Below are 13,637 nucleotides of genomic sequence, written 5' to 3'. Positions count from 1 at the left end.
ACTGCACTCCAGCCTGGGTGACAGAGTGAAACTGTATCTCAAAAAAAAAAAAAAAATGATGATGTTAAAATGTACAGGCTTTGAGGTCAGACAGACCTGAACTTGAATCCTAACTCTACCATCTACCAGCTGGTGGCCTTGGACAAGCTACATCATCGCTCGGTCTCGGGTTTTCTTATTTGTAAAAGGCAGATGACATTCACCTCCTAGAACTGTTGTGAGATTGGAAAGAAATGAAATATATTAAGTGCTCAGTGCCTGGCACAGTACAGACAATCGCATCAATGTATACTTGCACTGTTATTCCTTACAGAGGCATGAGGAAGAGATGCATTTACCACTAAGTGGTTCATGCCTAATCTGAGATGCAACTCTGCTCAAGTCTATCCAGACAGTTAATGGAATTCATAGATGGGATGAATTAAGCCTATGGTAGGGCTGGGATTTCTGAGGAGAGGAGATCCAGGTAGTCATTAGGCATTGCCATCCTTCTGGGAATATGTCCCCACCTTCTTGAATTTAGGCACAGCCACATGACTTGCTTTGGCCAATAAAATGTGAGAGAGGTGGGTGGTATTTCCAGGTGGAAGCTCCAGGAGCAAACGCATGCTTGGTCTGTGCACCGCATGTGCCGTGCCTGCTATGTATTTTCCCTCCCTGATGATCAGTGAAGGTTGTGATGGTGGAAGCTGGGACCCTGGGTTCCTGCCCAGGGCTGGCATGGTGCAGGGCCCTCAGACAACTTATGATGGACATGCAGTGTGCATGAGAAATAATCTTCACTATTTGGGGGATCATTTGTTTCCACAGATGGACTTTGTCCAGGGGTCAGCAAAGTGATGCTGGCCAAATGATTGGAGCACAGCCATGTGCATTTGTTTACTTACCATGTAGGGCTGCTGCCACACTACAAAGGCATAGTTGAGTAGTTGCAACAGAGATCATCTGGCCCTCAAAGCCTGAAGTACCTACTATCGCCCTCTACAGGAAGGGTTTACTGACTAGCCCATCCTGATCGACATGGGGGTTATTCATCTTCTGCTCTATCTCAACTTGGGGTTTGTGTGGGGCCTGGGATTCTGCATTTCCAACTAGCTCCCAGGAAATGCCGATGCTGCCGGTCCATGGACTCTTTTTTGAGTAGTGAGGCTCTAGGGCAAGGTTTCTCAATCTCAGCACTATTGACATTTTGGACCAGATAATTCTGTGTTGTGGGGGCTTCCCCGTGCATTGGAGGTTGCTTATAGCAGCATCCCTGGTTTCCACCCACAAGATACCAAGAGTTCCTCCTAAGATGTGACAACCAAAAGTGTCTCCAGACATTGCCAAGTGTCCCCTGGGGTGCAAATTCCCCTTAGATGGGAACCACTGCTCTAGGGACTCTCCAGTAAGCTCACAATTCTTTGGGGTGTTGATAAGAAACCCTTGGGCAACAGGCTTGGTATATCTCCTGTCTGATTCCAAGAAAGATGGAAACAGTGCCAATGATGCAGAACTCCTGAGTCAGGCAGGAAGAGCCAGGGTCGAGGGACATGCAGAGGATGCCAGGAAGGAAAACAATGAAGTCAGTTATATTCTTCTGCTCTGCTTGGAGTAATGTGTACATTTTAAACATTTCACTGAAAAACTTGGATAAGATAGGTGGATAAATATCACTGCTTAGAAAGTTTAGAGTCTGGAAAAACAATTCTAATTTGTAGGCTTCTTCATGGATGGCTGAGAGCCTTCCCAGGCCAGCCAGACATTTGCAGTGGGGCAGTCCCAGCCTCTTCTGCCTCACTCTTTCCCATCACAGTGCTGCCCCGCGGGAAGGGGCAGCTGATTGTTGCCTTCACCCTCACTTTAGAGGAGAGAAAGGGAAACGTTATCACACTCCACCCTTGCTGTGTCATCCCAAGGGCATGCTAACTTCCATCTGCTGCATGAACAGACCTCAAACTAGATGAATCAGAGGTGGCGGCTGCCATGCGGACTGAGGGTGCTTTGAAATCAGTGGAAAAAGAATCGTCAACATGTCTCAGTTTTCACAATTTGCATCTGACCACAGAAAAAATCCTAACAGTCTGTGTATATATTTTTTGTAGACCCTTCTACATGTAATATGGTTTACTATTCTATTTATTTTCTGGCTTGTCTAAAATTATAAGAGCCATATATAATTGTTATTTTGTAATTTAAAACAGTACAGAAGTGGGTACAGTTAAGAGGGAAGCCCTTCTCTCTTCCCTCCAATGCCACATCTCAGAATGAAACCCTATCAACACGTTGGGTGTGATCCCTTCAGAGATTTCTATATATTTAATACACATGTGTAGTGTTTACATACGAGATCATACTACACATGTGTAAGATGGTTCTGCTTTACTGTTTTCTTTTCATATCAGGGCCAGGCCAAGGGTGCAGAATTTAAGGAGGCACCCACTCTCAGGCTCATGTTAGCACAGGGACATGGTTTGCACAACCCTGACAACGAGCACACCCTTAAATTTTGTGTCCCAGGTGGCTTACTCTTAAGGAAGTAATACTTTTCTGTATGCCCTGGTCCTCCCTGCTTAATATATCTTAGATATCTATGTCAGTTCAAACAGCCCTACTTCATTTTTTTTACATAATACAGTTTAAGTTTAAAGGTAACTACTGCCAGGGGTGGTGGCTCATGCCTATAATCCCAGCAGTTTGGGAGGCCAAGACAGGAGGGTCACTTGAGCCCAAGAGTTTGAGACCAGCCTGGGCAACATGATGAAACCCCGTTTCTACTAAAAAATACAAAAAAAAAAAATATCTGGGCGTGGTGGCGGGCGCCTGTAGTCCCAGCTACTCAGGAGGCTGAGGCAGGAGAATGGCGTGAACCTGGGAGGCAGAGCTTGCAGTGAGCGGAGATCGCGCCACTGCACTCCAGCCTGGGTGACAGAGTGAAACTCCATCTAAAAAAAAAAAAATTTAGCTGGGCATGGTGGTGTGTGCCTGTGGTCCCAGCTACTTGGGAGGCTGAGGTGGGAGGATTGCTTGAGCCTGGGAGGTTGAGGCTGCCATAACCTGTGATCACATCACTGCACTCCAGCCTGGGTGACAGAGTGAGACCCTATCTCAAAAAAAATAAAAATAAAATAAAGGGTAACTTTTGCCTTGGTTTCATTTTTGTCTACCCAATGTGATACCAACAAAGCAATTTGGACGTAGCTTTTGGAGCTGTTGCGCCTCCGCTACCTTCTGGACTTCTATGCCTGTGTTGCTTGGCTCCATAGCTCCTTCCTTGAGCTGCCCAGGTTAATGAGTGGAGGGGACAGTGGTAAGAAGCTGAGAGAGGCAAAGTAGACTTGAGTTAGGAAAGGCTCAAGCTACCTGGAAAAAAAGAGGTGCATGAGGTGAGAGGAAGGGGCAAGAGGGGGACTTTAGGAAGAGGCAGAGAAAGGAGATTTGGGGGAAGTAGCTGCTTCCATGAGTGAGAATTTGAGAAAAGAAATGTGTGAAGAGGAAATGTAGCCTACGTTCCGGGGTGTGATTCAAATGTTCTTGGAGGAGGAGATTTGCATCACTCCTCAAGGTCTTCTGGAGTTAGGTTTATTTAATGGGGTGCATCATGGTCTAGGGCCCAGCCCCAAGGCTAATTGGCCATAATTGGGTTACCTGTGTCTATTTGGTAAAGTTGAAGTGGGATCACAGGAGCCTAGGAGGGTTACTCAGTTTTCAAATAATCAGCTCTCTTACCAATAGGGAGTTATTTTTTTTTTAACTTTTATTTTAGGTTCAGGGGTACATGTGCAGGTTTTGTTATATAGGTAAACTGTGCGTCGTAGAGGTTTTGTGTACAGATTATTTCATCACCCAGGTACTAAGCATAGTACCCGATAGATATTTTTTCTGATCCTCTCCTTTTCCTATCCTCCACCTTCTGATAGGCCCCAGTGTGTGTTATTCCCCCCATGTGACCATGAGTTCTCATGATTTAGCTCCCACTTATAAGTAAGAACATGTGGTATTTGGTTTTTTGTTCCTGCGTTAGTTTACTGAGGATAATGGCTTCCAGCTTCATCCATGTGGCTGCAAAGGACATGATCCTGTTCTTTTTTTATAGCTGCATAGTATTCCATGGTGTGTATGTACCACATTTTCTTTAACCAGTCCACTGGATCTACACTGATGGGCATTTAGGTTGATTCCATGTCTTTGCTATTGTGCTGCAATGAACATACGTATGCATGTGTCTTTATGGTAGAAGGGTTTATATTTCTTTGGGTATATACCCAATAATGGGATTGCTGAGTCACCTGGTTATTCTGTTTTACTGCTTTCCACAATGTCTGAATTAATTTACATTCCCATCAGCTGTGTATAAGGTTCTCCACAACCTCACCAGCATCTATTATTTTTTGACTTTTTAATAATAACCATTCTGACTGATGTGAGGTGGTATCTCATTGTGGTTTTGGTTTGTATTTCTCTAATGATTAGTGTTATTGAGCATTTTTTCATATGCTTGTTGGCGGCACGCATGTCTTCTTTTGAAAAGTGTCTGTTCATGTCCTTTGCCCACTTCTTAATTTTTTTTTTTTTTTTTGCTTGTGAATTTGTGTGAGTTCCTTACGGATTCTAGACATTGGACATTTGTCGGATGCATAGTTTGCAAATAATATAGGGTCCTAGGCCACTTTGAGGAGTTGTGGAAATCTACAAAACTATTCCTCAGAACAACGCAGGTGAGCAAATACACACATTTTGCCAACAGCTTTTAGAGGATTTTGAACCCAGAGGCCCAACCTCAGCCCCCTGTGTCAAGGATTCTGGGGAGGGCTCTGCCTGATGCTGCAGTCCCAGCCACCTGCAAATCAACTTATACTGAAAATGTGCCCAATCAGTGAGCACATTACAGTCTCCAAGAGTGCCTTGTGGAGGCAGACATGAACTTGAAAACTGCATATTCTAGAATCTTGGCCTTTCCTGCTTGACAGCAAGAGGAATACGCAGGAGTTTGGTGGAAGTTTCTGACACAGAAATCTTACAATGGGAGTTTGCCTCTGAAATCCCAGTGGAGTCCATTAGTGGAGCGATTTGCAGCTCCTTGCTTTGCTAGGTGTGCCAAGAGCGGTTCTGTTTTTAGAAGGCAGTCATCCAGGACTGGGAAGGGGCACGCTGGAAGAATCTAAGCCCCAGTGAAGGGTCCCAAGTGGAAGATGAAGAATGATGAGGATGTAAATTCTTGGTGTCTGGGGGAAGCCTGAAAGACTGGAGGCTAAGACCAGCCTTGAAAATGTATAACAGGAGACTAAGTGGCATTTTCTCCCATTGTCTCAGACTGGCTGACAGTGGCACAGAGCTAGGGAGATTTCTGCACCACCGCTGGGGTTGGGGAGAACAAGGAGGCAGCACACTGTCCTCAGGCCCGATGAGGTTGGCAGAATGGGCCCGATTCCAACTAATCATCATTAGCTTTCCATAAGCTATCAGATTAAAAGAACAAAATGAGAGGGGAGAGTCCTATAGCCGTGGAGGGAGTATAATTCTCCTTCTCCTTCATCTCTTTCATCTTCCTTCAGCTCTTTCTTTTCCTTCTCCTTCTTCCTTTCCTTCTCCTTTTATTCCTCTTTCTCTTCCTCCTCACCCTGCTTCTGCCTCTTTTTTTTTTTTTTAAAGCTATTCTAACCCCACTGGGGAAAGGAAGGGGACTGTGCTTTCTGAGGTCAAGCAAAAGGAATTGGAAGACAATCATGGGTTGTCTTAGTTACAGTTCCCTTAGATGCAGGCTCTGAGACAAGGCATTTACTGCAATTAGTGTGTTTAGGAGGGGATTCCAGGAAACATTGATAGGAGAAATGGGGAAGTGAGTCAGGGAAGGGAGGAAGACACACTCTTCAGAGTGTGTCACAGAGCAAAGTATCACTGCAGACAATAGGAGCTTAGTCCTACTGGGGACATCTGACAGTCAATAGAGACCATGCCTTCTGAGATATTCCTCATAGGGGCTGGGATACTGATTCAACAACTCTGGAGAGCCATTGATTGCCTCCTGGTCTTGAAAGGTGGTAATTCCCTGGTTAATTTCAGCCTGCTGCTAGCTGTGGCAGAGTGGGCTCCAATCCTCAGAGGAAGCCCCTAGGCAAAGAGGCAAAGAGACAAAGGTGCTGGCCAATGAAGTTAGGTTGACACATTATTTGATTTCATTCATACCAAGTTCAGAGAGAAGCAAAACAAATCTATGGTGTTAGAAGTCAAGACAGCAGGTAGCTTGTGAGGGGATGATTAGAGGAAGGTTTCTAAGATTGTGATCATGTTTAATTTATCGATCTGAGTTTGCACAGATGTGTTCATTTCATGCAAATTCATTGACCTGTATAATTGTAATCTGTGTACTTTTCTACATGTCTTTTATACTTAAACACGTTTACAAAAGCACTAAGTCTCATTTCTTGGAATGGGCTTTTTCTAGTAACTCAAAGTGTCTGAAAAGTTCCAGAATTGAACCAAGATGTCACCAAGGGAGACATTACCCAAAGGAAAGTGGGAATTCAGCTGAGCAGAGATGAAGGCAGCAACATCCAGACGTGACAAATGACCTGTCGCTCCAACAGAAACCGCTAGAATCAAACACAAAGAAAGGAAATGGATGGGAAGAAGTCAATTTTGAGATTACTTCCCAGCCCCAATAAACTGCAATTTCTTGAAAAACCAGTTGCATATGTTTGGCAGCAGCTTTGCCAAGAAGGTCCTCTGAGAAAGGATTCCAGATGGATAGTATGTTTCCCCAATAAGTCTCTTGTCTCCAGGCTCCAGGAAGACCTGGCAGGGGCCGGCGTTGCAGCCCAACACACATGAGGGACCCATTGGCTTCTTCAAACTTCCCACTAAATGTTGTGATTAACCACGCTGTGGCTCCAATTAGATCAAATCAAAGCAACATGTTAAAAGAATAGCAGCAGGAGGTAATGTGCATATCATTAAAGAACAAGTTACAAATATGAGTCCTTTGGTGAGCCTAATAGACACATGTCGCGTGGAGCTGAGACAAATGTTGAGTCTGCTGGTTTGAGGTTGCACCCTGAGTTTGCCATGGGTTGGGAGCTGAGTAGATATTAGTAAGAATGTTATTAAGGAATAATAGCTATTTTTTAGGGCTTCCTATGTGCCAGACACTGTGTGAAGTGCTTTGCATGCAATACTAATGAAGTAGGTTGTATTTATTCCATTTTATGCTGAAGAAACTGAGGACCTAAGCAGATGGGAGAACTGATAAAGGTTAAACAGTTAACTAGTGGCTGGGTCTGCCTGAATCCAAAGTCCACCTGATTTTAATTTTTTATTGAAATTCAGGTATAACTTACATATAGGAAGATACGGACATCTTAAGTGTAAGGAACTATTACCTATGTGTACACCTATGCAACCACCACCCAGCTCAAGCTATGGAGCATCCCTTGCCTTCCAGAAGGTTCTCTTATGCCCCTTTTCCAGTCACTATCACTCCCAAAGAAAGTGCTGCTCAGAGTAGTTTTGCCTGTCCTTGAACTTCATAGGTGGCAGCCTACAGTGTGTGCTGTTTTGTATCCAGCCTCTTTCACTCAACTTGTTTTTGAGATTTACCCATGTGTATAGTGCTTGAATTAGTAGCTCATTCATTTTTCATTGCTGAGTAGTATTCCACTGTAGAAATATACTGCACTTGATTGATTTGTTCTGCTGATAGAAATTCAGGTTGTTTCCAGTTTTTAAGGCCAAGGGCTTTTAACCACACATATTTCACTGTAGATTGATGAAGGCAGCTGGGTTACTTGTTGTCGTTGTTGTTTGTTTGTTTGTTTGTTTGTTTGAGACAGAGTCTCAGTCTGTCACCCAGGCTGGAGTGCATTGGCGTGATCTTGGCTCACTGCAACCTCCGCCTCCTGGGTTCAAGCGATTCTCCTGCCTCAGCCTCCCAAGTAGCTGGGATTACAGCTGCATGCCACCATGCCTGGCTAATTTTTTTTTTTTTAATTAGAGACAGGGTTTCGCCATGTTGGTCTGATCTCGAACTCCTGCCTGCCTCGGTCTCCCAAAGTGCTGGGATTACAGGCGTGAGCCACCACACCCGGCCAGCTGAGTTACTTGTAATAGTCGGGAAGGGGAACTTACATGAAAAAAGAAGGAGGTTTCAGAGGTCACAACTATGAGCAGTAAAGCTAAGAAAAAATGAAAGCTGAACGGGACCCTCTTACTCTCAGATTTCTGCATGGCTCCCGCCCTTGTCTTTCATTCCAGCCTCTGTTCAGATGTCACATTCTGCATACAATGGCACCTCCTAACAGAAGAAATGATGGCATGGGCATGCAATCTGCAAAATCCATACCACAGGATATTCTAGGGGACAAATGACCTGGCCATTTCAACAAAAACCTGCAAGAAACAAAAACGAAGAAAGGAAATGGGTAAGAACCTAAAGACTGAAAGAGATTTGTTAGAACCTGAATTTAAGTAAGGTTCATAGCATGCAAAAATATTCGTGACAATGGGGAGGTGTGAACACTGATGGGACATGATTGCATATTAAGGAGTCCTGGTTATTTTTTAAGTGTGATAATGGCATTGAGGTTATGTTTTGTAAAAGTCCCTATCTTTTAGAGTTAAAATAAATGACACCTCTCCACCTTCACACTCTATCTTACTTACCTTGTGCAGGGGAGGAAAGATTTCTTTTCACAAGAGAAAAGCATAGAAATTTATTTAATATAGTTTTATATGACATGGGTCCCTTTAGAAGTGAAAGACCGCAAAAAACAACAACGGGGAAACCTGTGTATTTTTACGCTAAGTTTCATGAAGAGGTGGATAGTCCTGGAGCAGTGCGATTGGACAAAGGGGGTGTGATCTACTGATAATAACCTGGGGGCCTGTTTGTTCAGATTCTTTGCTGAGTTCCTGCTTCATATACTCTCCTTTCCTCTGCTTATGACGTAGGCACTGCCCACATGAGTAGTATTCCACTGTATTCCACATGAGGCTCTTATGACCGACTTCAGCAGAAGGTCAGAGGATTCTATGATGTTTGATGGTGTGCTTCAGGGGAGAAGGGTTGGGGTCAAAGAGACCTTCCCGCTTCTGCTGGTTTTCTCAGATGCCAAGATGCTCTATTTTGGGGTAACATGTCCTAAACCCTATCACCTGCCTAATGTTACTTATTAGCTCTCATTTCCCCTGACACTTTCCCTTTTTGTTTTCTTGAGTAGAAGCTTCATAAAGGCAAGACCTTCATCTTACTCACAGCAGTTGATTCTATCACCTTGTATGGCCCCTGACACATAGAAGGTGCTCAATAAATTTTGTTGAATGGATGCATGAAGTGTTTGAGAAAGTTCCCCTGTGAGTAAAATGTCAAAGAGTTGAAAAACAGAAAGAAACAATGAAGCCTGGGGACATGGTTTCTGAAATCAGGTTTTTATTTTATTATTATTATTTTTTACAGTGCAAAGAGCTGGCTGTGAAAGGCAGCTTTGTTAGAACTATTTATGAAATTCTCACTTGTGCCTGACTGCGGGGAGATAAAAATCAACCTCCACAAAGGCCTCCCAGCTTGAGTTGTGGCTGCTGCACTATGGGTTTGTTTATGTTTAGCAGGTGGGGTCCACAGGGAGCCTGTGACCAGGGCAGGGGCTGCAGCAGTTGAAGATATGCCTGTCATTATTTAATTAAATCATCTCGGGCATGTCCCCTAACTTCTCCGAGCCTCAGTTTCATCTATGGTAAAAGGAGGTTGATTATCCATCTACTCACAGGGGTTCTGAGAGAAGCAAAGAACGGGCTGGTCCCAAGGAACTGCATTTGATAAGCCCCCTCCTCCCCCCACCCTACCCCTTCCCCAGGTGATTCTCAAGCTGGTGTCCCTGGGATCACCCCTGGAGAAACCACACCGATGGAAGTCACTTGAAACACAGGAGAAAAGATTCTAAAGTTGTGTCTAAACCAAAAATTGCTAACAGTCAAACTGCCTTTCAAAATTCTCTGGGAAGGGACCTCCCTGGAGAGGACAGCCATCTCTCCATGAGGTCAACACAGACATTGTTTCCTCCAGTGCTGAAACAGACCACCGTGCTTTCCCTGGGCCCCAGATGAACGGGGTGACGTGAGGCTCACCCCCGTTATGGGAAGACACTCTCACTGAGCGGGGCTCGGAGAAACTGGGACCCAGTGGTTGGCACAGCCAGGTTCTGAACGCAGACCATCTGGCCCCAGAGGCAAGGTCCTAACCCCTGTGCAGTGAGGGTGTCCATGGGGACCTCCACGGACCGGCAGTGCTTGGGTTAAAGCAGCCTTAGGGCCGTCGGTCTGGACGCGGCGCACACGCAGAAGTGAAGAGGGGAGGAGGGGAGGTGTTCAGTGCAGCGGAGTTAACCACAGAAACCACGGCGAGGGGAGGCGTGGGCCCTCGCCCGGCTTCGGTGGTCACTGGTCTCACGGGCGGTACTAGGCAGGTGAGCTGTGATTAAAAATTGGCTCAGCCACCGGTCCTTTACCCAAGCTGCTCACAAGTCAGAGAGGCTGGCTGCTTTGAGTTTCCTCTGTTTCTTTCCTTTTTCTTCTTGGTTATAGGCACTGCACAGTGTTAGCATAGCTCAGAAGGAGACCCCGGGATAACAAAAAGGCCTGCACGATCCCCAGCCTGACCATCAACAGGGACCTGCCATGGGTCAGAAGGGACCTGCCCACACATGTCCGCATGTCCTCTGCGGCTGGGGAGGAGGAGGCAGGATTCCTGGCTTCCCTCCAGGCTCTGCAACCACTTCCCCTCCTCCCTCTCTCCTGCTATTAAATTTAGGTCTCTTTCCGGAATGTTCTAAGCCTTTTTAAAGGGAGCAACACACTGTTCCTGCGTTGGCTGTTACCTCTGAGAAACCGGGAATAAATTGCCAAGTAACTGCCGATGGCTTTGAGCCTGGACTCTGGGCTCGGGATCCTCCTAGGCCCACCCCTGGGATGAGTCATCGTCAGTCGGAAGGACCTCTCCCTCCTAAGACCCCTGAGCTGCTCCAGGCGCGGCTGTAAAAGCTGGCCTCGGCATGGCCCCTGTCTCTCCCCACGCCTGACCGCCCTGCTCCTCACCCCACTGTCCTCTCCCTGATGTCAGCTCATTCATTCCACCGGTCTCTGTCACAGATCCCAACAGGCTCTGCCTGTGGCAGCTGCCCCTCACTCCTGGGCAGGCTGATCCCACCCTAACGGTTTCCAACAACTGCTGGCTTTGCCTGAGGGTCCTCTCTGGCTGCCCCAGCCAGCCCAGCCCCTGGTACAAGCCAGGCCAGAAGTTCCAGGGTGTTACCCCTCCAGTCCCCAGCTGCCCTCAGCCATGCCTGGTGGACACACACCCCAGGTCCAGTGCCCCTCCATGGGGATAGCTAAGGTGTGTTTTACTCCCCATGCTGCGGACCCCAGTTCCCCACAGACACACCCTGTAGGGCTTTTTCTCCCTTCCTTGTCTCACTTCCCCTCTCTTACTGGGTCACCTAACCACTTGCACAGACATCTGCGCCAGTGGGAACTCAACCTTGAGAGCGCCTTTCAGAGGCTTAACACATATTCATGGTGAGCCAGGTAACTAACCACTTGGGCCTGTCTTACGAAAAGAGGTGTGACCGCAAACGGACGGATCTGACCCCAGACATTGCAGAGGTCAGCCTCACAGACACAAGGGCTGCTGAAGCACTACTACCAAATTTGCAATTCGCTTTTAAAAGATTTGAGTTCCTACCATGGGCCAAGCAGTGTGCCAGGCTCTGGTGATACAGGGTTGGGCAAATTAGACAAGAACTTTCTTTACTGGGGTATACCTGCTGGTGGAACTATCCAATGACTAAGACAAAAAAAGTCAATTGTTTAAGTGTTATGCAGAGTGTAATGTGTTACTTTAGGTGCTCAGGGAAAGTCATGTTTAGGCTGAGCTATGAATTATACAAAGGAGCCAAATGGATAAAGGTAAGACAGATGGGCCGGGCGCGGTGGCTCATGCCTGTAATCCCAGCACTTTGGGAGGCTGAGGTGGGTGAATTGCTTGAGCCCAGAAATTCAAGAGCAGCCTGGACAATGTGGTGAGACACCGTCTCTATAAAAAATGCAAAAATGAGCCAGGAATGATGATATGCACCTGTAGTCACAGATACCCAGGAGGCTGAGGTGGGAGGATCATAAGCCCAGGAAGTTGAGGCTATGGTAAGCCATGACTGTGCCACTGCACTCCAGCCTGGGCAACAGAACAAGATACTGTCTCAACAGCAACAGCAACAACAACAACAACAACAACAAGACAGGAGATCACAGATAGAGGGAGCAAAAGCATGAAAATGGGAAGCTTTCTCAGAGTGCTATGAATGGAGCGGCTTCCTGGAAGCTGGGCAGTGACTAAGGGCAGTGCCTGGTACAGAGTGTAGGCTCAACCTGGTCTTGGGATTAGGGCAGAATTCTCTGCGGAAGTAAGGAGACATAAATCTGAAGAATCAGAAGGAGTAATTGAGGACTAGGAAGAGAAAGAGACTTCCAGGCAGAGAGAACAGCATATGCAAAGGTCCTGAGGCTAGAGACTGCCCAGTACATTTTGACTGGCTAAACAGGAATTAAGGGGTAGAGGGCTCAAGATGAGGCTAGAGGGGTAGTGTGATTGATAATCTTATTGTTCAGCAAACGTTCACTCTTCTCCCTGCCCATTTAGGGAAGAGGATACTTCCTCTGCCCCACCAACTTGAGGCTTGTCCTTGTGACTTGCTTGAGTCAATGAACAGAAGCAACTACAACATAAGCAGAGGCTTGAAGTGTGCAATTCAACTTGGTCTCTGGCATCCCCACTATTCGCCATGAAAAGAGTATACTCTGGTTAGCAAGTGAAGCAGATTGAGGTCGATCCTCAGCCTGGAGCTAGCTGAACCGTACAGTCAGTGGAGAGAATCGATAGTTATTTTAAGCCACCAAATGTTGAGGATGATTGTTACATAGCATTATTTTGGTAATAGCTGACTAATACAAGTGGGTAGGGAACCAATCCTGAAGGGAGGCCACTAAGAAGTTATGCAGGGAGCGCTTGCTACCTGCGCAGATTGGTCAGCTGGGTTGGGAGGTTACTTCTATGCAGTTGTCCTGCAAAGATGATGTAATGCAGATAAATGAATGATTTATGGGAAGCTAAAAAGTTGCCTTTGGGCGAGATCAAGGAGCCAGGCTGCTGAGAATAAGCCTTCATATGACACAAATCCTAAGCTTGGCTTTCCTTATCAGTCCCAGGTAAAAGGACCGTCTGTGTGCATGGTCTAGGATGTTTAGTGTGAAGTCAGGTCACGCTGTCATTTCCAAGGTGAACTCCTTATGGGCAAAGATTTAACTGTGGACAGAAGTACAGATAAATATGCTGACAGAAATGAAGAGAAGATGAGTCAAAATGGAGGCATACAAACTCAGGGAATAAAATGTTATACCTTTCAAAGTGACAGTGGAAGGCTGACCACCATTTCGGCTCCTCCCAAAGGGGCTGCTGTCCCTTGAAATACAAACTCCCAGCAGTATCGGTGGTTCTGGAATGGGAGCATCTGTTCTCCAAGGGAATTACAGGACAGAGCAGGAATCTTCAGTGTGGGGAGGAGACAGGGGAAAAGAGGTGGGGTAGCTCAGACATGATCAGATGGGTCACTGTC

General features: G+C 46.2%; 8 annotated features.

Annotated features, from left to right (window-relative positions):
• Positions 1,745-2,039: an enhancer, noted in NCBI's record as "tiled region #12200; K562 Activating DNase matched - State 5:Enh". NCBI's record gives its function as "activates a minimal TATA promoter and a strong SV40 promoter by Sharpr-MPRA in K562 cells {active_cell/tissue: K562}" and the evidence as "EXISTENCE:reporter gene assay evidence [ECO:0000049][PMID:27701403]".
• Positions 10,339-10,478: a silencer, noted in NCBI's record as "silent region_14526". NCBI's record gives its function as "represses an Ori minimal core promoter by ATAC-STARR-seq in GM12878 lymphoblastoid cells {active_cell/tissue: GM12878}" and the evidence as "EXISTENCE:reporter gene assay evidence [ECO:0000049][PMID:35858748]".
• Positions 10,467-11,067: an enhancer, noted in NCBI's record as "H3K4me1 hESC enhancer chr3:72226281-72226881 (GRCh37/hg19 assembly coordinates)". NCBI's record gives its function as "activates a minimal SCP1, AML or CMV promoter by ChIP-STARR-seq in primed H9 embryonic stem cells {active_cell/tissue: H9 hESC(primed)}" and the evidence as "EXISTENCE:reporter gene assay evidence [ECO:0000049][PMID:30033119]".
• Positions 10,467-11,148: a biological region, named in NCBI's record as "H3K4me1 hESC enhancer GRCh37_chr3:72226281-72226881".
• Positions 10,579-10,628: an enhancer, noted in NCBI's record as "active region_20080". NCBI's record gives its function as "activates an Ori minimal core promoter by ATAC-STARR-seq in GM12878 lymphoblastoid cells {active_cell/tissue: GM12878}" and the evidence as "EXISTENCE:reporter gene assay evidence [ECO:0000049][PMID:35858748]".
• Positions 10,639-10,698: an enhancer, noted in NCBI's record as "active region_20079". NCBI's record gives its function as "activates an Ori minimal core promoter by ATAC-STARR-seq in GM12878 lymphoblastoid cells {active_cell/tissue: GM12878}" and the evidence as "EXISTENCE:reporter gene assay evidence [ECO:0000049][PMID:35858748]".
• Positions 11,019-11,148: an enhancer, noted in NCBI's record as "active region_20078". NCBI's record gives its function as "activates an Ori minimal core promoter by ATAC-STARR-seq in GM12878 lymphoblastoid cells {active_cell/tissue: GM12878}" and the evidence as "EXISTENCE:reporter gene assay evidence [ECO:0000049][PMID:35858748]".
• Positions 11,739-11,848: an enhancer, noted in NCBI's record as "active region_20077". NCBI's record gives its function as "activates an Ori minimal core promoter by ATAC-STARR-seq in GM12878 lymphoblastoid cells {active_cell/tissue: GM12878}" and the evidence as "EXISTENCE:reporter gene assay evidence [ECO:0000049][PMID:35858748]".

The sequence above is a fragment of the Homo sapiens genome, chromosome 3 (genome assembly GCF_000001405.40).
Source record: "Homo sapiens chromosome 3, GRCh38.p14 Primary Assembly".
NCBI classification, from domain to species: Eukaryota; Metazoa; Chordata; class Mammalia; order Primates; family Hominidae; genus Homo; species Homo sapiens.
Note: the sequence above shows the minus strand (reverse complement) of the source record. Positions and strands in the feature narration are given on the sequence as shown.